The sequence below is a fragment of the Homo sapiens genome, chromosome 7 (genome assembly GCF_000001405.40).
Source record: "Homo sapiens chromosome 7, GRCh38.p14 Primary Assembly".
Classification (NCBI taxonomy): Eukaryota; Metazoa; Chordata; class Mammalia; order Primates; family Hominidae; genus Homo; species Homo sapiens.
In genome coordinates, this window is record NC_000007.14 from 7,779,324 (window position 1) to 7,803,080 (window position 23,757).

The 23,757-nt window shown below is 38.4% G+C and overlaps 1 protein-coding gene and 1 long non-coding RNA gene across 4 annotated transcripts in view, besides 1 other annotated feature; both read left to right on the forward strand.

Annotated features, from left to right (window-relative positions):
• The window catches only part of UMAD1 (UBAP1-MVB12-associated (UMA) domain containing 1), a 238,472-nt gene that overhangs the window by 138,572 nt on the left and 76,143 nt on the right, over positions 1-23,757 (forward strand). For all 3 annotated transcript variants that reach the window (NM_001302350.2, NM_001302348.2, NM_001302349.2), the window contains one exon: positions 22,347-22,420. In NM_001302350.2, coding sequence (NP_001289279.1) covers positions 22,370-22,420 — 51 coding nt within the window. In that variant the 5' untranslated portion in view covers positions 22,347-22,369. The remainder of the gene's footprint in view (positions 1-22,346; positions 22,421-23,757) is intronic.
• Positions 13,151-13,832: an enhancer, noted in NCBI's record as "NANOG-H3K27ac hESC enhancer chr7:7832105-7832786 (GRCh37/hg19 assembly coordinates)". NCBI's record gives its function as "activates a minimal SCP1, AML or CMV promoter by ChIP-STARR-seq in primed H9 embryonic stem cells {active_cell/tissue: H9 hESC(primed)}" and the evidence as "EXISTENCE:reporter gene assay evidence [ECO:0000049][PMID:30033119]".
• LOC105379719 (uncharacterized) lies at positions 17,125-17,641 on the forward strand. Its single transcript, XR_001745081.1, has 2 exons — positions 17,125-17,163; positions 17,300-17,641. It is a non-coding gene; the product is annotated as an uncharacterized LOC105379719 (long non-coding RNA).

Here is a 23,757-nt window from a genome sequence, read left to right on the forward strand (position 1 = left end):
TAGAGTGCAGTACTACAATCATAGCTGACTTCCTGGGCTCAAGCAGTCCTCCCTTTTCAGCCTCCCCAAGTAGCTGGGACTACAGGTGTTCATCACCACATCCAGCTAATTAACAACAAAAAAAGTTTCTACAGATGGAGTCTCACTATGTTCCCCAGTCTGGTCTCGAAATCTTGGCCTTAAGTGATCCTCCCACTTTGTTTTCCCAAAGTACTAAGACCATCCTTCCACTTTAAAGTACTGAAATTACAGGCATGAGCCACCATGCCCAGCCCCGTTTTTTTCCTCTTCATTTTCTTTTCCTTTATTTCCTTTATTTTACTTTATTTATTTATTTTTGAGACAGGGTCTCACTCTGCCATCCAGGCTGAAGTGCAGTGGCACAATCTCAGCTCACTGCAACCTCCACCTCCTGTGCTCAAGGGATCTTCCCACCTCAGCCTCTAGAATAGCTGGGACTACAGGTGCACACCACCACACCTGGCTAATTTTTGTATTTTTGTAGAGACGGGATTTTACCATGTTGCCCAGGCTGGTCTCAAACTCTTGAACTCAAGCGATCCGCCAGCCTCTGCCTCCCAGAGTGTCAGGATAACAGACATAAGCCACTGTGCCCGGCCCAAGTTTCTTAATATATTAATTTGCCAAGCTCTACAAACAAGAACTGCTTTGTGTACATACAGTAGTCAAAACTTGCTGGTCCCTTTTCTGAGTTTGCTTATTTGTTTATACACTGACTGGCCTGCCAAGGGGCATTATTGTTCTTTTTCTGTATATTTCCTGTACATTTCCCTCTCTGTTGACTCTTTGCTTTCAGAACTTAAACAGGTTCCAGTGTTCCTGTCTTAACAACCATTGCCATTTACTACACACATCCTCTAACCACCCCCATCTCTCTTCTTCAAACTAAGCTCTCCTCATAAACAATTCCTATGAGAGACCATAGGGGTATTTCCCCATTTCCTGCTGGCTCCTCTGTCCCTCCCAACTACCCCCACAGACTGTGCTCCCAGTGACCTCCTTTCCTTCTAGCAATTTTCCTATGCTATTCTTTTATTTACAAAACTGGAACTGTATTTTATGCACAGATATTTTATAGCTTGATTTTTTTCCTACTTTAATATTAGGGACTTTCTTTTTCCAAGTCATTAATTTTTAAAAACTTTCTATTGATGAATAGCATACATGCAGAAACATGCACAAACGATAAGTTTGATAACCTTTCACAAAATGTCGTTAGCGTCCAAATCAAGGAAAAGAAATTGCAGAATCCTAGAATCTCCTCCCAACCCACTCCTTTCAGTCACTTCATCCAACTTCCAAAGCAATCCTGACTTCTAACAGCACAGATTGTTTTACATATATGAAATGTATGTAAATAGAATCATATAGTGTGTACCTTTTCTGTGTCTCACTTCTTTCACTAAAGATTATGATGTTTGTGAGATTCATCCATATTGTTCCATGCACTTGTAGTTTGTTATTCTCACTGTTATATGATATTATATTGTGTGTTTATGCATTAATATGTTTTAAAACATAATGTTAATTCCTATGTAATATTCCATTGTAGGGATAATTAATTAACTTATTAATTACCCATCATTTTTGCCAGGTTTTCACTATTAGAAATAACACTATAATAAACATCTTTCTGTAAATACTTGAAGAAATTTCTGATCATTCCTTAGAATAAATCCTGGAAGTGGATTTACCAGCTAAAAGCTTATACATTCTTCAAAAGTTCTTGATACATATTGCCAAATTGCCTTCTAGAAAGCTTATACCTGTTTACTTTCCTGCTGGCACAGTACCTGACACATAAACATTCAATAACATTTTGTTTACATGAACTGGATGAACTAAATTCTTTTATATCTTAGAATCCTAGAAGCTGAGTTTTCTGTGTCTTTGATCTGCCTTCTTTCCAGTTCATTTTTGTTTTAATGAATTTATACTAAAAACAATTTAATAGTACATAGGGCGCAGCTTCCCCTCCCGACCTTATTCTTTTTCAAAAATAATCTGGTTATTCTTGCTCCTCTTTCTTTTTTTTTTAGTGGAAATTTAAAATATACTGCTGCATTCTGGAAAAATCACTGGAGATCTTATGAAATTGCATTGCTGGCATTTTCTTTACATTAATGTGGAAAAAAATGTCATATTTATATGTTTATAATCCTATCCAGAAATGATTCTCCATTTATTTAATTATTTTTTATGAAATGCATTTCAGTAAAGTTTTATAGGTTTATTGTTGCAGTAAAGTTTGATAGCTTTATTCTTAAAATTTAAAAATTTTATTTGTGAATATTTTATATTTTGTGACTACTGGGAATGAGATATTTTGTTTCCATTATAATTTCGTTATGTGAAAGCTATTGTATCTTCTATATTAATTTTGTATTCATCCTTTTTAGCAAGCTCTTATTAATGTTAACAGTTTTTCCCTTATAATACTTTTGGGTCTGTGAACATTTAATTTATAATTTCAGAGAGGGAGAAATTAATATGTAGAATAAAGAAATAGAAAAATGGTAACCTTGAAAAAATTAAAAAATAGAAATGTAGAATTCTGATCTGTTCTTTTAATGCATTGAGGTACTCATTTTTATCAGTTCTCAACTATTTTCTCTAGCTTTGTATTTTGAATGAAGCAGCAAGTCACAAAGTTAAACATAAAACTAATGAAGTTGTAGAATGTAAAAATAATCTATCATTACGTTAGGAAAAGTAGTTACGAAAACCACATTATTTACCCATTATACTACTCTATACTTTTTCCATTCTCTTATTTTTAAAAACTTCTCTTTTTATTATCTGTTCTCTATTTTGCTTCTCTGTTTTGTTTTTTTAAGAATACAATAGCTTGGGAATAATTTTTTTAAATACTAATGGAAAATAAACTTTAGGATAAATAAGGGAAAAAATAAAAATCTTTCAGTTTTCCTCTCGGATTTTTTTCTCACGTATTCTCATATACTTTTCTGTTCTTTTGGATCACTTTAGTGATTCTCTTCCTTCTTACAGCATGTATTCATCTGAATGCCTTCATACATGCGTGCATGTAAGATACCAGTATTTGTGTCAGGGGTTGTCTTATCTCATCTTTTTCCTCAGAGATAAGAAAATGTGTCTAAGTCGTGTGTCTACATGCTATTGCATAGATAATAAAATAATTTTTTATCAGTTTACTTTCAATTTTTAAAATTTTTTTTATTTTCTTTTTTATTCATTTTAAATTGTAGGGTTATTTTTTTGTTTAATCCTAAAGATAGTTTTAAGTACCTGTAAACTTGAACCACAAATGTAATCAGAAAATAATACTTTAATCCTAGTTAATCCACGTTATTGACCGTCTGTGCCTACAAGCCGAAACAATAGCAGAATGTCTTGTGTATAACCTCTCTCTTTTTTTTTTTTTTTTTTTTGAGACGGAGTCTCTTTCTGTCACCCAGGTTGGAGTGCAGTGGCGTGATCTTGACTCACTGCAACCTCTGAGTTCGAGCGATTCTCCTGCCTCAGCCTCCCAAATAGCTGGGACTACAGATGCACGCCACCACACCCAGCTAATATTTTTTGTATTTTTTATACAGACAGGGTTTTGCCATGTTGGCCAGGCTGGTCTTGAACGCCTGACTTCAGGTAATCTGCCTCCCTCAGCCTCCCAAAGCACTGGGATTACAGGCATGAGGCATCGTGCCCAACCTAGTGTATAATCTGTTATGTGGACCTACATACTCACTGGCAAAGTCTGATCTAGAGATTAACTGTCTTCTTTTGAGATGGTGGTTTTGCTGATTTTTAGGAAGAGACTATCTAGGGTCTCATTTAATCCTTGTAAGAGACAGGCTGGTTGCACCCATCTTGTCTAAGTTTGTAAAATGAAACTAGGTCAGATCAATTACAGATAGTTGTAACTTCCTCAGAATAGTCTGTAAGCCAGGGCTGTTGGTTATTAAAATACATTTTTTCTCTTATCAAAATCAAAGGAATTAATTATTTCTCATGACTGTAGAATTGGAATATGACAACTTGAGAATCCTATCTTTTGTAGAATAGAATAGAAGTTGTTTTTTTTTTTTTTTCTAAAAGAGAAATTCAGATGCTGCACGGTTTGTGTCTTTGGGTGTTTGCTGAGCTACGAGGCTGGGAAGTGAGAATCAGAATGGACAATCAGGACACTGTATTCAGATTTCACTTATAAAATGGGTTTGGAAATGAGGATGAAGGGCACTAGCCAAAATAATCTCAAAGGCTGCTTCCAGGTCTTAACTACCAAGATTTGTAGCTTAAAAACGAACTATTGGGAATTATAGAGGTAAACTGATGTGCTTTCATTAGAGAGGCGTAAAACTGGTTCTAAGTCCTTAAAAGAAAGTAGAAACAAAGCACCAAAGCCAGAAACAATTACACCAGCAGAATACTTAAAAACTAACAACAAAAAACTGTTTTCATAGGCACCCTGTTATACGCGGTAATGCAGTTTGTTTTGTACAATGTTATAAAATGATCAGTATACTGTACTTCTGGTTAAGCAAAATAAGACCAAAGACTGACACGGTATGCTGTCTACTCTAATTCAGTACATTCACCAAAAGGAGATGAAATTAAAGATGAAGAAGAAATTAAAGAATTAAGGAAGAAATTAAAGATGATAAATGGATCCAGTTTGCCTATGGCAAACTGATAGTATGCCATTCTGAAGGTGGATATTGCTTATGAAGAAAATTTTGAGTGAATTGTTTCCTTTTATAATTGTATTAGAAGAAGTGTGGATCTTGACTGTAGACAGACTTTAGTTTAAATATGGCTCTGCTATTTAGGAGTTTTGTGACACTGGGAACTTTTTAAACTCTCTTTTGTTATTTGCTTCACTTATTAAATCAGCAAAATCATTCCTACTTAATAAAGTTATTGGAAAGAGCTTATTATAAGGAGTTTGTCCCCTTTCATGAAATTTTCAAGGAAATTGTGATTTCCATGACTTAAAATTTTCTACTTAAAATCTCTGTTTTTTTTTTTTTTTTGAGACAGAGTCTTGCTCTGTCACCCAGGCTGGAGTGCAGTGGTGCTACCTTGGCTCACTGCAAGCTCCGCCTCCCGGGTTCACGCCCTTCTCCTGCCTCAGCCTCCCGAGTAGCTGGGGCTACAGGCACCTGCCACCATGCCCGGCTAATTTTTTGTATTTTTTTTTTTTTTAAGTAGAGATGAGGTTTCACTGTGTTAGCCAGGATGGTCTCGATCTTCTGACCTCGTGATCCGCCCTCCTCGGCGTCCCAGAGTGCTGGGATTACAGGCGTGAGCCACCGTGCCCGGCCTACTTAAAATCTTTTGAGGAAAAGTGCTATATCAGAAAATAAACAAGACCAACCCAGTTACATATTACCATATCATCTGAATATGTTTTACATTAGCTTCTGCCCTTCCTTCTTTTTTTTTTTTTTTTTTTTTTTGAGACGGAGTCTTGCTGTGTCGCCCAGGCTGGAGTGCAGTGGCGCGATCTCGGCTCGCTGCAGGCTCCGCCCCCTGGGGTTCACGCCATTCTCCTGCCTCAGCCTCCCGAGTAGCTGGGACTACAGGCGCCCGCCACCTCGCCCGGCTAATTTTTTGTATTTTTAGTAGAGACGGGGTTTCACCGTGTCCTTCCTTCTTAGAAAGGTTCCCTAATTGTCTGAACTGTGTTGGAGATTTCGTGGCATGTGTAGTATTTGTGGAGAACTTTTCCTGTATGGTCATTTCCAAGTGTCTAAAGAATCTGGTATCAGTCCTTCAGATTTTAGCGGGTTAAGAGAAAAAGACACCAATAAATCAAGTAGGCATAGAATTTTGTATAAGAAGTGAATCTGGGTATGGTAAAAAGTTGTGATAGAATGAAAACTTTCTGAACAGTGGTTTGGGAGAAATGCAGTAAGACTTTTAAGAAGTCAATCATTCATTTACTCATTGAATATTTCTTCAATATTGATTGTGTGTTCAGTGGAAAGAGGTGACATGGAATGGGGAAGAATGTTCAAGACACACAGAGTAGCACACCTGAACGGAAGCAGATTTGAGGATCTGAAAGTTGTTTTATGATTGGAGTGTAGAGTTGGAACCGAAGGGATGAAAAGGGATGAGAGAGTTAGTCAGGGGACCGATCATCCTGGACTTACAAGCCATGAAAAGGAATTTGACCTTTATCCTAAGCACAATAGGGGCCATAAAATAATTGTGGGATGGGGCAAAGGCCAGGTCTGTGTTAAGAAAGAGTAGGAGAATGGATTGAAGGAAGGAGAACAAGTAGAGGAAGGGAGATTGATTGCGTGGCCGCTTGTGGAAATCACAGAAATCATGGTAGCCTAAACTTGAGTAGAGTCAGTGGCTTTAGAAAGCTGAACGTGGAGGCCAGCATACAAAAGAGCCAGCTAGCTGACTGACATGATGTGGGGAGTGAGGGAGGAAGAGGAAGCAGGGCAATTGGTGATGCTTTTTCTTCCTTGACACAAAGAGTACCTAGGAGGAGAAGGTGAAAGGGGTAAAGGATTAGTTCCATTTTAGTTGGTGGGTTAAAGGAACTTGTGAGATGTATCTATCAATATATTTATCTGTGTACCTATCTGTATATCATATTCATGTATTCTAATCATCCTAACTACTCCTCTCATTTATTTTTTATTTTGAAATAATTTCAAACTTAAAAGGTCACAAAAACAGTACAAAGTGCTTTTTGTTTTTTTGGAATCTTTTGAGAGTAAATTGACAATATGATGTCTCATTACTTTCCAATACCTGAGTGTGCATTTCATAAAAGCAAGGGCATCTCCTACATTTACGTTTTGTCCCAGTGATGTCCTTTACAGCAAAAGGATCCAGTCTAGAATCACATGTTGCATTTACTCGGGATGTCTCTTTAATTTCCCTCCATCTTGAATGGTTCCTCAGTGTTTCCATGACCTTCAATATCTAGACATTTTTGAAAATCACAAGCTAATTATTTTGTAAAATATCCCTCAATTTGAGTTTGTCTGACATGTTTTGCAATTAGATGCAGGTTATGATTCAGGAATTTTTGCTAGGAATATCACAATAATTATGTGTTCTTTTCATTGCAGTCTATCAGGTGGTGCACAGCTCCTGTTCGTTACATTACTGAAAATGTCAACCATCATCATTTACTAATTTTGCTATGAGATGGGGAGGTAGATGCGTAGTGTACAGATCAGCTGATGGTTTACAGAAGAGTAAACATTCAGAATTCCCTCCCACCCCCCGTAAGCCTTGTTCAGAGAAATATTTTTTACATAATAACTGTAGTCTTTACTGTTATTATAATTTGGATTATTGCCCACTGAATTTATTATCAGTTTAGTGCAGAAGAGAAATACTTTGCTCTTGCCTTAGATTGAAAGGCTCTCCCTGTTGCCACTGTGCTCTGGTTTCCAGATGCCTTGCTCTCACTGGGATTGATGTGCTTTCTCACAGAGTGAAGAGAGAACCTGACAGCCATAGGAGGAGGAAGGTTTGCCTCACTTTAAGTCCGGATGTGGTTAAAGCATGGGAGTGGGAGAAGAGAAGGGATTTGACTGAGACAAGTTGATTTGAGTGAAGCCGCTACTCTTAGACAACTTTGCGTAAAACAGCTGGTTAGTTAATATGTTTCTCTTTTATTCCATGCTAGTCCTCCAAGCCTTAAAACAACTTATTAGAGATTAGAATTTTTAAAATCTGTTTTGCAATAAGGCACGTGTCCAGTTGAATTCTAATTTCACTAAACCTGCCCCCTAGAAAACTGCTGAACTTATTTGAAAACACTGAGTCATGATGATATAAATATATGATGGGGATTTAATGAAGTAGGTCTAATTTCAAGAATATCTAATTTATGAAACCAAGCAGTACTGTGGAATTTGTTGGTAATTAGAAATACAGGTTTAAAGTATATAAACCATATATGATTTTCATAACTTTAAAGGAGTAAATGTTTTTACTCTTTAACCAGTCTTGATATTAGTGATTCCTTCTTTACAAACTGAAATGACTCCAGATTTTTTGAAACAGTACTGTTGTTTTTAGAGGAATTAAAAAATATATTGCAAGTTTGCTGCCATGTGTTTCTAGTATAGTACTGCTTTGAAAATATAGGTGTTTAAAATTAATCAAATACATATTAGCAACCTTTAAAATACAGCATTGAATACAATATGATAAATAAAATTACTTTATCAAAACTCCTTTGGAGTCTCAGCCAACTTTTATATTTCATGTTATTTACCTCAAACTCCATTGTAACTATGCAGAACCCAGTAAAATCTCTTTTCTTTCTCCTTTCTCCCATATTGTCTTGTCTACAGAATACCAGAGACCTATCAGTTTTCCTAATGCAGCTTCAAAGGCACTATTGACTCCTTGCCCTGTTTCTTCTACCCTTGCAAACTTCTGGGAAGTATTTCCAAGTATCTTATAGCTGAGCTACCCTGTCCTTATTGTAGAAATCCCATCCAAATTTCACATTAGGGTTATGATTGTAGATCTCTCCTTAAGCCTTTTGTTCAGCTTCTGCCTTTCACCCAGGTCAAAGTGCTATTAATAAGCTTATTTCCTATTACCAAAGTGTATCATCTTAAATTTCCTTCACCTAACCTATAGCTTCATCAGAAACTTAAATTTTTCTGAGACTATTGCCACCCTCTCTTGATCATACCATGTTTGCCGCAATGCACCAGTCGGGAAACAGCCGTTTAGTCAGAGCCTACTTGGTGCCAGTCACTTTACCAGATGCTGAGAATACTGTGGCAAATAAACACATTATTGTCCTCATGGAACTGATAGTCTGGTGGGAACAACAACTATTAAACAAGGTAGTGCGTGTAATTAAGTGATTGCATATGTGTGAAGTGGTTTGGAGAAGAAGGAGAACGTATGACTTGTAAAGCAGACATGCGTTTTATTGGGGTAGTCTTGAGGTAGTTGTGTTGAAGCTGAAGCATGAAGATTGAGTACATATTGTTAGCTGGTTGAAATCTGGGTTGGGGAATATTTTAGGCTAAGAGTGGTCCCTTCTCTATCATCACATTTTACTCTGTAATCAAGCAGGTTCTCATACTATTTATTCTCATACTATTTAGCCGTGCCACTTGCTCACTGTCACCCAGTGCTTCTTCTTTCTTAATGAGCTCTTGCTTTTATACCTTTCTATATTTCTGATTTTATAGTATCATCCTATTTTGGAATTCCTGAGGTCAGAGTTTTCAAGCTGTTAGATTAGGATCTACCAGTAGCAGGCTCTCAGTGTCTGATTTGTCCACTGCTTCCTACCTGGTGACTCTCCTTTTCCTTCTCTCAACTCCTCAGATTTTCTGTGATTTCTGCAGGAAGCAAAGCCAGCAGTCAGGTAAAGGGGTTGGGGAGTTGGTGGGGGTGGGGACTTAGAATATTTGTTGATATCAAACCTCTCCCCACCAAACACTTGAATTTCATTTTCAGCAACCTCTTCTTCCCATTCTAGTGACATCAAGACTTAAGAAGATTGAAAAATGTCCCATCTTCAGAGGAAATCTAGGTATTTTGCTCTAGATCATTAAAGGTTACACATATTCGCCCTGAAATTCTCCATAATCTGTAACTGTGCTTCATCTGTTGCCTAATACTTTATATTTTAAATTTCTTCATTTACTTAAAAATTTCTATTTTTGTAACTAGCAGTTTACATTTTTTTAGAGTCAAGCATATTGATATGCAGTATCACTAACATTGTCAGTACTGGTGATATACATACAAGCAAACTTGCAGATATATATCAACAAAAACAACATTATTGTACTAGTACAAAGTGGTCAAAGTGTGTTCCTCTGACACTGGTTATTATTTTTTTGCTGCAAGGCATAGTAGCTGGGCAGGTGGTCAAACTATTTCTTGTAGCCAGGTAGTAAGGCTTTTTATTGAGCCGTAACCAATTCTATGGCTGAGAGAAAAAAAACACATTTCCCTCGCATGACTTTCCTTTTCCCTTTAAATACCTATTTATTAAAATAACAATGTGAATATGGAGTAGAGACTTATTATAACATCTGTATGAAAACAATTGTTAGAACAAAACTAAAATTGAAAAAGTACCAATTTATTGTTTTAAATAGAGAAAAACATCTTATTTCTTTAATTTTTTAATTACTAGTAATAAAACCAATGTAATATTTGCCATCTTAAACTATTTTTGAGTATATAGTTTATTTGTGGTAAGTACATTCTCATTGTTGTACAACAGATCTCTAGAACTAAAACTGAAACTCTGTACTCGTTAAACAAAATACCCCTTCTCCCCTCCCCACAGACCCTGGAAACCACCATTCTGTTTTCTGTCTGTATGAATGTGACTACTTTAGGTATGTCATATAAGTAGCATCATACAGTATTTGTCTTGTGACTGGCTTATTTTACTTAGCAATGTCTTCAAGTTTCATCCATGTTGTAGCATGTATCAATTTCCCCTTAAAGCTAAATAATATTCTACTGTATGTTTATACTACATTTTTTTAATTCATTCATCTGTCAGTGAAGACTAGGGTTGCTTCCACCATTGGCCATCGTGCATGGTGCTACTGTGAACATGGGTGTATGTTCAGATATTTCTTTGAGACTCTGCTTTCGGTTCCTTTGGGAACATTTACTTAGTGAGCCCCAATCTTCTTACAGAGTTATTTATTTTTTACGTATTAGAATGTGGGCGGAATTGATGAAGGGAAGGAGGCGATAGTGACTGTAAAAAGTAGGCAGATAATAGTCTGTCCATTGTTTAAGGCTCTCTGTCTGCTTCAGTGTTTCTCAAAGTGTTGTCCATGTACCACTTGCATTAGAATATCTGGGATATTTTGATTCTTAGGCCTTTCACCAGACTTTTCAAGTCAGACTCTCTTGTGAGACTCAGGAATTTGCACCCCAGGGGATTCTTGTGTACACCGGAATGTGAGATGCATTGCCCTACTGGTAACTAGACATCCCAGGATTTATCTGTGTTTATGCGGATGAAAACTCTGTTCCCTGCTACTAATAGCACCTTGCTTTTGGGGGGCACATCCATCCCATGCCAGCCTATGATTTTCACTTTATTCTGTCTGCGTATTGTAGCCCAACTAAAAGTCTCATAAATGTAGTAAAGGAGGGCAGCCCTGAGTTCATAACCCTAAACTTGGATTCAGGCCCATTCAGGCCCTTCTTCTCAGGCTCCTAATGGTGATTCACTATTGCTGTGTCTGCTTCTGATCAGTGGGCCAGTGAACAGGTTAGAACTTCCTCCCTCTGGCCTTGTAGTGTTTAGGCTTACCTGAGTTCTTAAAGGGACCAAATCTCTTTCCTGATACGAACACTTTAAGTATGGCATAGCAAATTGTGATCCTAATTAAGGCAGTAATTTCTCACGTTCATCTTGTATAGCTGAATGACATGTGTGACATCTTTAATAAAACCAACCAGCTTCTGCATTCTGAAACTGAACTCTGTCTTCATCTAGTTATCACATTGTGCTATCTCTAACATGTGTTCTTGGCTTCTGATTATTACATGATCTGTGATTTGCAAGTGACTGTTTTTCATTTTTTGTTTTTTTGATACAGAATCTTGCTTGCTCTGCTGTCCAGGCTGGGGTGCAATGGTGCGATCTTGGCTCACTGCAACCTCCGCCTCCCGGGCTCAAGCACTCCTCCTGTCTCAGCCCCCAAGTAGCTGGGACCAGAGGCCCACACCACCACACCTCTAATTTTTGTATTTTTAGTAGACATGGGGTTTCACCATGTTGGCCAGGCTGGTCTCGAACTCCCCACCTCAGGTGATGCACCCGCCTCAGCCTCCCAAAGTGCTGGGATTACAGGCAAGAGTCACTGTGCCCAGCTGGAGCATATTTTATTTTCTATTTACATATTTAGGCTTTAAGCTGTACACACCAAAAATATTTTTTTATGGCAGTCCTGTTTGTTCTCAGCAGAGCCTGTAGAGCCTGTTGTCAGTGGAATGCTGAGAACAGCCCTTTGTAGAGCTTTCTATTGGCAGTATTTTGGGATTCAGGCTGAGGAATGGTTGACCCAACTTATACTTCCAGCAGTATGTAAATTTACTCTGACATGGGAAAGATATTAACAGCAGCAACAACACAAAATCTTTCAAGATGCAGATTTGTACAGCATAATACAGTATTGTACAAATGTACATATACAAAATTAATTTGGCCTTTTCAGTTTCTAGTCTTCCAGCCTGGAAGTAAGAATTGTTTTTAACAAAGTGTTAAACGGCTAAATTGATGTTTTGGGGTTCCGTCAAGATCTTCCAGAAAAATTATTACCCCATAGCTACAAAGTAACAAGACTGAGAACTAAGGACATCAGTGAAGCCCAAGACAAGTTAATTAAGAGCAGACCGGTAGGACTGACCGGTGGATATGACCTCATTTAGATTTGTTGGTGTTCTTACTTTCCAGATTAAGCATGCTTAACTATTCAGTGTGGCCCAATGCTTTTAAAGTAGTAAGCATGTTTTTGAGCTGTATGATTCGAACAGCAATCACATTTAAAATCTAACATGGTGCCTAAAAGTTGTATAGAAATATGTATGAAAATTCACACTAATATATTTTAACGTAGACTACCTGTTCTGGTGAACTCTTAGTTTGAAACTTTCTTTATATTTTAGCAATCGTTTGTAATTCTTTTTATTAGCTCTTAGTGAGTGTGTATGCAGCATTTTCTTTCTTACTGTCCTTCTCCCACCTACAGTCAAATCAACAGATGTTTATTGAGCATTCACTTTGCATGTGCCAATTCTTTCCTTTGCCAATTTCGGGTGTTAATAATTTTGGTATGCTAATTTATTACATGCTCTGTGCCATTTTAATTTGCTTTTCTTTAATTCACAGTCAGCTTGTACCCTTTCCTATATTTGTTTGCTAACTGCATTCCTTCCTCTATGGCTTAGCTGTTCCTGTTCTTGGCTCATTTTCCTTTGAGGTTATAACAGTTGTCAACAGAATCCTGACCAGGCTCCTGGGCAAGCCATGTCTTAACCAATTAGTACTTTTGTTTTCTCTCTATTCCTCTTTTCTTCATTATGGTGGAAAACAGACAGGGATTAAATGGACAGAATTAGAAAAAGTAGGAGGGGAAACTAAACTGAATTGGAAGAGATTTAAATGTAATGTGTTTAAAACTGAATTGGTTAACTTAACTCAAGCTTTGATAAGTAATGGGAAGCACCATGATATTATGGAATAATTTGTCATTTTCAACAGACTTGGGTTTTAGTACCAGGTCTGCCTCTGTTACATGAATGCAATAAAGCCTACCTCACAATGCTGCCAGAGCATTTAATAAGATTACATGTACGGGCCTTCCCCTCCCATCCTCTCTGTCTTAGTTTGTTTGGACTGCTATAACAAAATACCATAAACCGCGTGGCTTACAAACAACAGAAATTTATTTCTCGCAGTTCTGGAAGTTGAGAAGTCCAAGATCAAGATGCTGGCAGGTTTGGAGTCTGGTGAGGGCGCACTTTTTGGTTCGTAGAAGGCATCTTCTTGCTTCATTTTCACATGGCAGAAGGGGACAGCCCAGCTCTCTTCAACCCCTTCTAAGGGCACTAATCACTCGTGAGGGCTCCATCCTCATGACCTCATGACCTCCCAAAGGCTCCACCTCTTACTACCAACACACTGGGGATTAGGTTTCAATATACGAATTTTGCAGGGATCGGGGAGGACACACACTTTCAGTCCATAGATTCTCTGATGCTGAACGAGCGTGTCGCTAATTGCTACACGCAAAGACAGAATAGCAGTCGAAACCAAGACCTTACCCCGGCTTCCCATCCTTCTCTGCAATTAGTGTCTAATATGTTTTCCCATTTAATCTTTATAACAGCCTTAGTATGTATCATTATTCCCATTTTTCAGATGAGGAAATTGAGGCACTGAGAAGTAACTTGTACAAGGTCATAGATTTGGTAGAGGATTTGGGTAGAGTTCTGTCAGATTTCAAATCCATTCTCTTTCCACAGTGCCAGGCTGCCTAGAATAATGAGTGTGACTGAAGAATGAAAAGGAGTTAATGGTGTGGCCATTCCCCTGTTCTTTCCACTACTTCACTTGGTGAATGACTAATAGGCAAACACTCCCAGAGGGTATTTGCATTTTAAAAGCGAGCTCATTAACCCTAATGAATCTCTAATTGGTGGAATTTGTGGGGGAGATATTTTTAAGTACTGGGGCTTTCTCCTGTGTCTTCAAGGTGCCTGGCTATCTTTTTCTTCTTTATAGATTATCAACTATTCTGGAATCAGAATCGTGTAGCAGAATGCAGTCACATACTGCTAGTCTGCCCCAAATGCATTAACAGGGAGTCATGAATTAAAAGGCAGCCATGAAAAAACATTGAAAGGAAAAAAGTGTGGGTTAGCATTGTCTAAAATGAATGTCCAAAAGCAAATAAATTTGGCCATATAGAGAGTCTTCCGAAGAGTCAGATGAAAAGAATATATTTTATAACCAAATTTAACTTTAGAAATGTTATATCAGCATTTCCCATGGTGTGTTAATGAAGCTCTGCAAGATGTTTAATAGGTGTCAGATGAATAAAATGGCTCCACAGTCAAATACACTTCGAAAAAAAATTTTTTTTTAAGTTTCATCACTGCAGAATTTCTTAGATGCTAAAGTGCATTAGGAAATCAACTGGAAGAGAACTTGCATTCTGAAGGTTTTTCTCATATTTTTGACCATAGAAATATTTTTTTCCATGTGAACCCCTTGGAACCAGTGTTTCATAGATTGCATTCTCAGATACAGAGTTCTAGATAAATCATCTTTAATTAAAGAAAAGAAAAAGAAAAACAGTTTTCTGTATTCACAGCCCTTTGCATGCAGACAGGCTCCAACCCAGTCCACAACAGCCCATTTCCAGTCTTGTTGGGCTCAAGGGCATGCCAATAATAACAGCCCTCTTCCCCAGATGAGATCTGGCCAATTGAGGGGAGGAAAAAGGAACAGATGGAGACCAAACTCTCATCTTTATTGCCTATAAAGCTGGTGTTGAAGAATGTGGCTTATAACAGGGAGCAAAAGGGCGTCCTAATCGGAATCCCAGAATTAGGTTGAGTGTGTAAACCAAAAGTAAGATCCTAAACCCCCACAACAGACTGAACGGACCCCCTCTGGGCCTCAAAAACTGAATTCCCCATTATGACAGGAGAGATCTTGGTATACCCCCTCCCTTTTGGAGTTTAGGAGCAACTGACTAGCATTAATGTTAAAAGAGAGATTATAAGACTGACAAAACAGACTCTTTGTAGCAGTAAGATACCAAATTGCAACCTGACACTGGTATAGGACCTCATGACAGATAGCAGACCCTGAAGGAAATAAAAATATTTTACCCTAGAATATATTTCCTTGACATACGTTGAAATGGCCCTGCAAAGCTGTCTTTTGTGGGGGAGATTACATCCGTAGAGAATCTCCTTCCCTTTCTAGATCTTTCCCAGATCTAGGAGAGATGAAATGAAAGGCTGACACCTTTAAGGTCTGAAGAGAGACGCTTAGGATATTCTCTATAGGGCTGTTACCTGAAGGCGTCATCTACTTAACAAGAACCTTGGCTTCCACAATGCCCTTTTTCTTAACTCAAGCATTTACTTCTAGTCTTTAGACAAAGCTGAACTCCTTCAACCAACTGCCAATCAGAAAATCTTTGAATCCAACTATGACTTGTAAGAACCCCTACTTTGAGATATCCCAACTTTTTAGGCTGAACCAATATATACCTTACATGTATTGACTTATGTCTTTGCCTGTAATTTCTTTCTCTCTAAAATATATAAAACCAAACTGTAACCTGACCGTCTCAGGCACACTTTCTCAGGACCTCCTGAGACTGTTTCCTGGGTCATGGACACACACATTGGATCCGAATAAACCTCTCCAAATATTTTACAGAGCTTGGCTTTTTTGTCAGCTAGTTCCACTCAGTTACAGAATATGCTGAGCTGGTCAGGCTTTTCCCCAAGTGGGAGGATGTTTCTGTGGAGGATCAGAGCAGACAGCAACATGCTGCCTGTGTTCCTTGATTCTTAAGAGAGAGGGAAGGAGAAGTTACTGGAAAGGAATCCTGATCTTGGGGAGGGTTCTTAGATCTCCTGCAAGAAAGAATTTGGGGTGAGTCCACAGAGTGAAGAAAGAAACTTTATTAAGCAAGTAAAGGAGTAAAAGAATGGCTGCCCCACAGGCAGAGCAGCTGCGAGGGCTGCTGGTTGGCTATTTTTATGGTTATTTATTGATTATATGCTAAACAAGGATGGGTTATTCATGAGTTTTTAAGGAAAGGGGCAGGGATTTCCCAGAGCTGAGGGTTTCTCTTCCTTTTAGACCTTATAGGGTAACTTCTGGATGTTGTGTAAACAGTCATGACGTTGGTGGGAGTATTGTTTAGCAGGCCAATACATTATAATTGGCATATAATGAACATTGAGGATGACCAGAGGCCACTTTCATCACCATTTTGGTTTTGGCTTCCTTCTTTACTGCATCTTCATTTATCAGCAGGGTGTTTGTGATGTTTATCTTGTGACCTCATATCCCATCCTGTGACTAAGAATGTCTAACCTCCTGGGGATGTGGCCCAGCAGGTCTAAGCCTCATTTTATCCAGATCCTATTCAAGATAGAGTCACTGGTTCAAAGGCCTCTGACAAGGGGACAGAACCACTTGTGGCCAAGTCCTCCCAAATGCAACAACCAGTGGACAGGAGAGTGGAGAGAGGCCTGGAGTGAATGTTAATGGAATTTCCTCCATGTTGAAGGAAGCATAAGGCAAGTGACCTCACAGGGTTAACAGGAATTCTGAACAGAAATATATAGATATACTTAAGCATTCTTCTGGCTGTACTTTGACCCATTTCTATTTTCTTTCTTTTTTTTTTTTTTTTTTTTTTTTGAGATGGAGTTTCGCTCTTCTTGCCCAGGCTGGAGTGCAATGGCATAATCTCGGCTCACCACAACCTCCGCCTCCCAGGTTCAAGTGATTCTCCTGCTTCAGCCTCCCGAGTAGCTGGGATTACAGGCGTGCCCTACCGCACCCGGCTAATTTTGCATTTTTATTAGAGACGGAGTTTCTCCATGTTGGACAGGCTGGTTTCGAACTCCCAACCTCAGGTGATCCGCCTGCCTCGGCCTCCCAAAGTGTTGGGATTACAGGCGTGAGCCACCGTGCCCGGCCGACCCATTTCTTTGTAACCAAAATTTATGTAACACCAGATACTGACCATTTGTATCCCCATTGTTCCTATAGATAGGATTCTGGTTTTCGTTCAAGATAGTGTCCCTGACACTAGAATCATAAGCTCTTGGTGAAGAATTACTTAAGCAGATCCTGGATTCTAGTGGAACAACTAACACCAACCAGTTTAAAGACCCCCACAGAGGAACCAAATCAGCAAGAGAATACCGTTTCTTCATCTCCCTGCCCCATGACTTCACCCCACAATTTTCAACCAATCAGTGGTCTCCACACTTTGGCCCACTCCAAAACCCTTAAAAACCCTACCCCCAAACTCCTCTGGGGAAAAGATTTGAGCTTTCTTCATGTCTCCTCATTTGGTGGCCCTAAGATTAAAGTTCTTTTTCTGCTGCAGCCCAGTGTCTCAGTGTATTAGTCTGTTTATGTTGCTATAAAGGAATACCTGAGAAGGGTAATTTATAAAGAAAAGAGGTTTATTTTGCCTCAGGGTTCTGCAGGCTCTACAGGAAGCATGATGCTGGCAACTGCTTCTGGTCAGGGCCCCAGGAAGCTTACAATCATGGCAGAAGGTGAAGGGAAACCAGCATGTCACATGGCAAGAGTGGAAGCAAGAGAAATGCCAGACTCTTAAACAACCACCTCTCACATGGACTAATAGAGTGAGAACTCATTACCACAGGGAGGGTACTTCATGAGGGATCTGTCCCCATGACCCAAACACCTCCCAGCAGGCCCACCTGCAACATTCGAGGTTACATTTCAACATGAGTTTTGGAGGGGACACACATCCAAATCATACCACTCAGTGTATTGACTTACCACATGCATGAACAATGAACCTATTATGGTTACATTAAGGAGTGGGAACCAAGTGTCTGCCCCATCACCCACCTACCACCAACCCCTTCAGACAAGCCTCCTCTGGGTGACCTAAGTAGGTATTTGGTTCTTCTCCCATCACTGGAAATTTCTGTCCTGTCCAATTTCCTTTATACATAGTGCTCACTCTTCAGCATTATTTCTCCCCTCAACCATCCTCACCCAGTAGAATGGGATCATGATGATACTCTAATGACCATTCCTTTCTCACATCCTTATATAGCTAAAACATCATCCAACATTTTTTTTTTTTTTTGAGACGAGGTCTCACTCTGTTGCCCAGGCTGGAGTGCAGTGGTGTGATCTTGGCTGACTGCAACCTCTGCCTCCCAGGTTCAAGCAAATCTCCTGCCTCAGCCTCCCCAGTAGCTAGGGTTACAGGCACATGCCACCACCCCCAGCTAATTTTTGTATTTTTGTTAGAGATGGTTTCACCATGTTGGCCAGGCTGGTCTTGAATTCCAGACCTCAAGTGATCCACCTGCCTGAGCCTCCCAAAGTGCTGGGATTATAGGCGTGAGCCACCGTGCCTGGCCATCATTCAACTTTTTATCCCGGAAATGATGGAAGACATATATTTCTCTAATACAGACTGGAAAACTACAGGCTGCCACTTGTTTTTGTAAACAAAATTTTATTGGAACACAGCCACACACATTAGGTTACATATTTTCTATGACTGCTTGTGACTACAATGGTAGAGTTGTGAAGTTGTGACAGAGACCTTATGACCTGCAAAGACTAAAATGTTTACTATCTGACCCTTTACAAAAAAAATTTGCCAACCCCTCGTCTAAAATATAGATGAGTTTCACATCAGTCCTTTAAGTTCTGAAAGAGCTTCATTAGTATGTATATGTAGCCTTTATCATTTACTCACTCTAAATAAAAACTACATTTGAAACAAAGAAAATCGCATGGCTGTACTATAAGGATAATTTTTACATCTTGTAAAATTGTTTCCAGCCTTAAAAACTTCCTGAAAAATATGAAGGGAACTGTGTATTTGCTTTGAAGGAGCAGAAGGAAGAATAAAGTCTTGCATCAGTCAGAAGTATTTGATGTCACCATTGAAAAGGGAAGAAAACAGATAATCTATGGGGCCTATAGAAGCAAAAAGGAGTAATGAAAACTGTCTGCAGGACCAGAAGGCACAAGATCCTGCCTTCAGAGCTCCCTATCAGAGCCCTTGGCTCCTCTCTTCACACCCTGTTCCCTAACTCAGAGTCTAGTTTCCTCCCACCTTGGCCCTCATGCATTGGAACCGTTCACCAGACCACAGAGTCCCCAGAGATGTCAAGAGACTGGGTTCTGCTCCCATTGTGACTGCTTTCTATGTGGGAGACCTTGGGCAGGTCACTGAGTGCCTCTGCCCCTTAGGTTTCACTCTCCTGTAAATTGGGGGTGGGCAGAGTTATCTTACTGTGCTTGCCCAACAGTAATCAAATCTGATGTTTTTTAAAAGCCTATATGAAAGGTAAGGTATTATGAAATTGTCAGTGTTTTTGTTTTTGTTGAAATGTCTGAGTTGCAAATGAAATTTTTTTATCTATCCAAGATATAAATTAGAGTTAACTGATATTTGAAAACTTAAGTACCTTATTTCATATTTCTCATACCCATTTTTGCTTATTTATTTTTATAGTATTTAACTTTTATATGGATTAGAGAAAATATAGAAAATAACTGAATTTTTACCATAATAAAATAATTCTTCAAGGGGTGGAAAAAAAACTTCAAAAATTGTATTTCATTGTGACCCATTCTTTTCTGTTTGTTGTTTATTCAGCTTTCATTTTTATGCCTTTGTTTACAGAGAAACAATCTTGCAGATGGCAATTTTCCTTGTAATCATTTATTGTCCTATCTGAGTCATCGCCAGACATGGCATTTCAGTAAACAGTGATTCTGCAATTGCTTCCAGGCAGATGTGTTGTGTGAAGTTAAGAACGCTGGCTGATAACCTTTCTGGTTTTTCAAGCAGCAGGGAGAAAGTTTTGTGTAGATACACACCTCGAAATCAGAAAATGGCGAAGGAAGGACTTTGTGCTGCATGATTTTAACCAAATATAGTGTTTGTGTGATGGATGGAATAGTAATCTTTTTAAAAGATAAATAATATTTCTTCGAGTAAAGGACTTTTTATAGTGCGTTATACGTATTTTCTTAGAAACATCGTGCATGTGCATTGTTAAACACAACGTTGACCTTGTTGTACAGACATTTGTATCACCTTGTCCACTCAGGTTCCTGTGGTCTCATGCCTGTAGCTAAGCAAACCAAACTCCTCATGCATTGGTTTTTCCAGTGTAAATTGGAGGTTCTCTTATCCCTCACTTTCAGACATAGGGGATTTCTTTTGCCTCACAAATATGTTTTTACAAACACGTATGCTCAAATATAATTTTTATTATGTATCATAAAGTCTTATCTTGTCACTGTTTTTATCTGAGATGGAGTTTCGCTGTTGTTCCCCAGGCTGGAGTGCAATGGCGCGTTCTCGGCTCACTGCAACCTCCGCCTCCTGGGTTCAAGTGATTCTCCTGCCTCAGCCTCCTGAGTAGCTGGGATTACAGGCATGTGCCACCATGTCCAGCTAATTTTGTGTTTTTAGTAGAGACGGAGTTTCACCATGTTGGTCTGGCTGGTCTCGATCTCCTGACCTCAAGTGATCCACCCACCTTGGCCTCCCAAAGTGGTGGGATTACAGGTGTGAGCCACCATGCCTGGCCTTGTCACAGTTTTACCATCAACTACAAAGAGAAGTTCACTAATTTATTCATCTAATGTTTATTGAACACCTATTGTGTGCTGGGCCCTGCCCAACAATAATAATGTTGCACAAAACAGAGAACAAAGTAATAGGGTGGAATATGCATTGTAAACATTTTGTGGGTTAATTTATCTTAAATATATAAGCTACCAATTTAGTTCTTGTTTCATGATTTTATAATTTAACAGGCTTATAAATATTTTTTATTACTTTAATCACTTTTTTTTTATTGCAATAGGTTTTGGGGGAACAGATGGTGTTTGGTACATGAGTAAGTTCTTTAGTGGTGATTTCTGAGATTTTGGTGCACCCATCACCTGAGCGGTGTACACTATACCCAAAGTATAGTCTTTTATCCCTCACCCTCTCCCACCCTTTCCCCTGAGTCCCCAAAGTCTAATGTATCATTCTTATCAACAGGCTTATATTAAATCCTTCACAATTTTCATGAGACTTTTCCTTGATTATAGCCATGAGTAAACTAAACTTTTGTGTTGCATATGGAGAAATTAAGCTTAGACAAGATTTTCATACTTTATCTCCAGTCAAGACTCATGACTTTTCCTTACATTAACAAATTTCTAACCATTAGTGTCAGCTAAGCCATCATCCATTTCTTTGGTAATCTTCCCTGCTGTGGACATTCCTAAGATTGCCCAATTTTATAGAAAAAGCAATTTACAAATGGCTAAATTAGCGTCTGATTATGCTTCAAAGAAGTAGGCTAATAGGTAGTCTCTATCATGTGTTAATCACAAACCATTAGTGATAATTAATAAATTAAAATGGGCCAATTATGAAATTCTGCTTATACTTACCCAAGTGTGTTTGTGTCTATCCTGTGTCCTTCAAGCCAGCCTACTCACCAACTTCATTTAGTAATGTAACCCAGTCAGGCACTAGCCTTAGGAATCAAAGTATTAAGTGAAGGCTAGTTTATGCATTTGTTCATTATTCTTTCCTGCTGTAAGGATTATCTGTCATCTGGTTAATTATTACATATAAACATACACATCTACTCCAAGGCAAATCCACAAACGCTTACAAAGAGTAAGCCTTATGAAAAACTAACTTGGAGGACAGTTATCCATATCATAAAAGAGTTTTTATTTCAACATAATTTGCCTTAAGTCATAAGCTTTCCAAGTTTGTTTGAAATATGACTTGATTTATAAAATATGAATTTATTTGATTTTTCCAGAGTAAATCTAGATAAAACAGGATACATTTAGGTTGTGTGTGTATGTATTTATGAATGATATATGAGACCTGTTTATAATTACTGTTCTTAAAAAGTTAGCTTGTTTACTTTGAAACAAGGGAAATAGTGGTTTCTTCCATGATGTGAAACATATAATAACAAAAGATACTTCAAACAAATAGCAAGTAGTTTGGCCTCAGTAATATGGTCAAGTTTTAAAAATAGACATATATTTTACTTCATAGGAGATACAACAGATGAGCAAAGAATGACAGCAAGAGGCAAAACTTCGGACATAGAGGCCAACCAACCTTTGGAGGTAAGTGAAACAGAGTAAGTCCTTTTCGGTGAAACTGAACAAGTCACTATGATTACTTATGCCTCCGAGGATAAATAGTAACTTCTGCTCTTGCTATGCCATAGGTGCCTGAATACAGGGAAACAAGTGGTCTGCTGAAAGTCAGTGGAGAGCAGTACAGGGAGTGCCTTCCCAAGTGCTAAACTCCTTTAGTGCTAGAAATGAAAACTTTCTGTTAAAAACAAAACAAAACAGAAATCAAGTCCTTAAGTTAAAACATTTAAACTATTTTTAATTGAGTGATTATGTACTAATATATTTCAATAAATAGGCAGTATATTAACTTGTAGAGAAAGGCTTAAAAATAATCCATTCAGCCGGGCACAGTGGCTCACGCCTGTAATCCCAGCACTTTGGGAGGCCTAGGCGGGTAGATCACGAGGTCAAGAGATCAAGACCATCCTGGCCAACATGGTGAAACCCCATCTCTACTAAAAATATAAAAATTAGCTGGGCATGGTGGCATGTGCCTGTCATCCCAGCTACTTGGGAGGCTGAGGCAGGAGACTCGCTTGAACCCCGGAGGTGGAGGTTGCAGTGAGCCTAGATCGCGCCTCTGCGCTCCTGCCTGGCGACAGAGCGAGACTCCGTCTCAAAAAAAAAAAAAAAAATCCATTCAAAATCCCGTTGCCTTACTAGTTCCAGCATCAAAGTACACTCCTTGAAAGTATTCTGTAGAAAAACTAGGGTATTTATTCTTTTTCACATGAGAAAACTATTTGCTCTCTAAGAGTTTACATGAAAATGTAGTTAGGATACTTTTGAAAACTATATAGAAATATACTAACATTATTTAATCACCAAAATAATCATCTTTAAGACTTAAGGGGAATGTTAAGTACTAGGGTGGAAGGATTATCTTGAAATGTGAAACTTTCTACGTAGTGACACACCTCTACCTGTATTCTAGTTGTAGCATATGAGGGTATTGCTGCATACAACTAGAGGGAGGTCAGAGACCTGGCCAGTGTGATTCACCATGGTTCCCTAATGCCTAGCCCACAGTAGGTAGTTGAAAAGATTTGTTAAATGAATAAGTCAGTACAATCATGAGTAATAAGTAGAGACTAATATACTTTTAAGAGATATTTTTATTTTTTATATTTATATTTTTCACCGTGAACAAATATTTTGCAATCAAGGAAAAATCATCCTATTTAAAACATCTTATTTAAAGATGTGATATAGGAAGTAAATTCATGAGGAGGAAGAAAATCATCTTTCTCATGAAACTGTGCATTCATTCTTTCACTTATGCATGCAACAAGTATTTATTACACTGACCGTACTCAAGATAC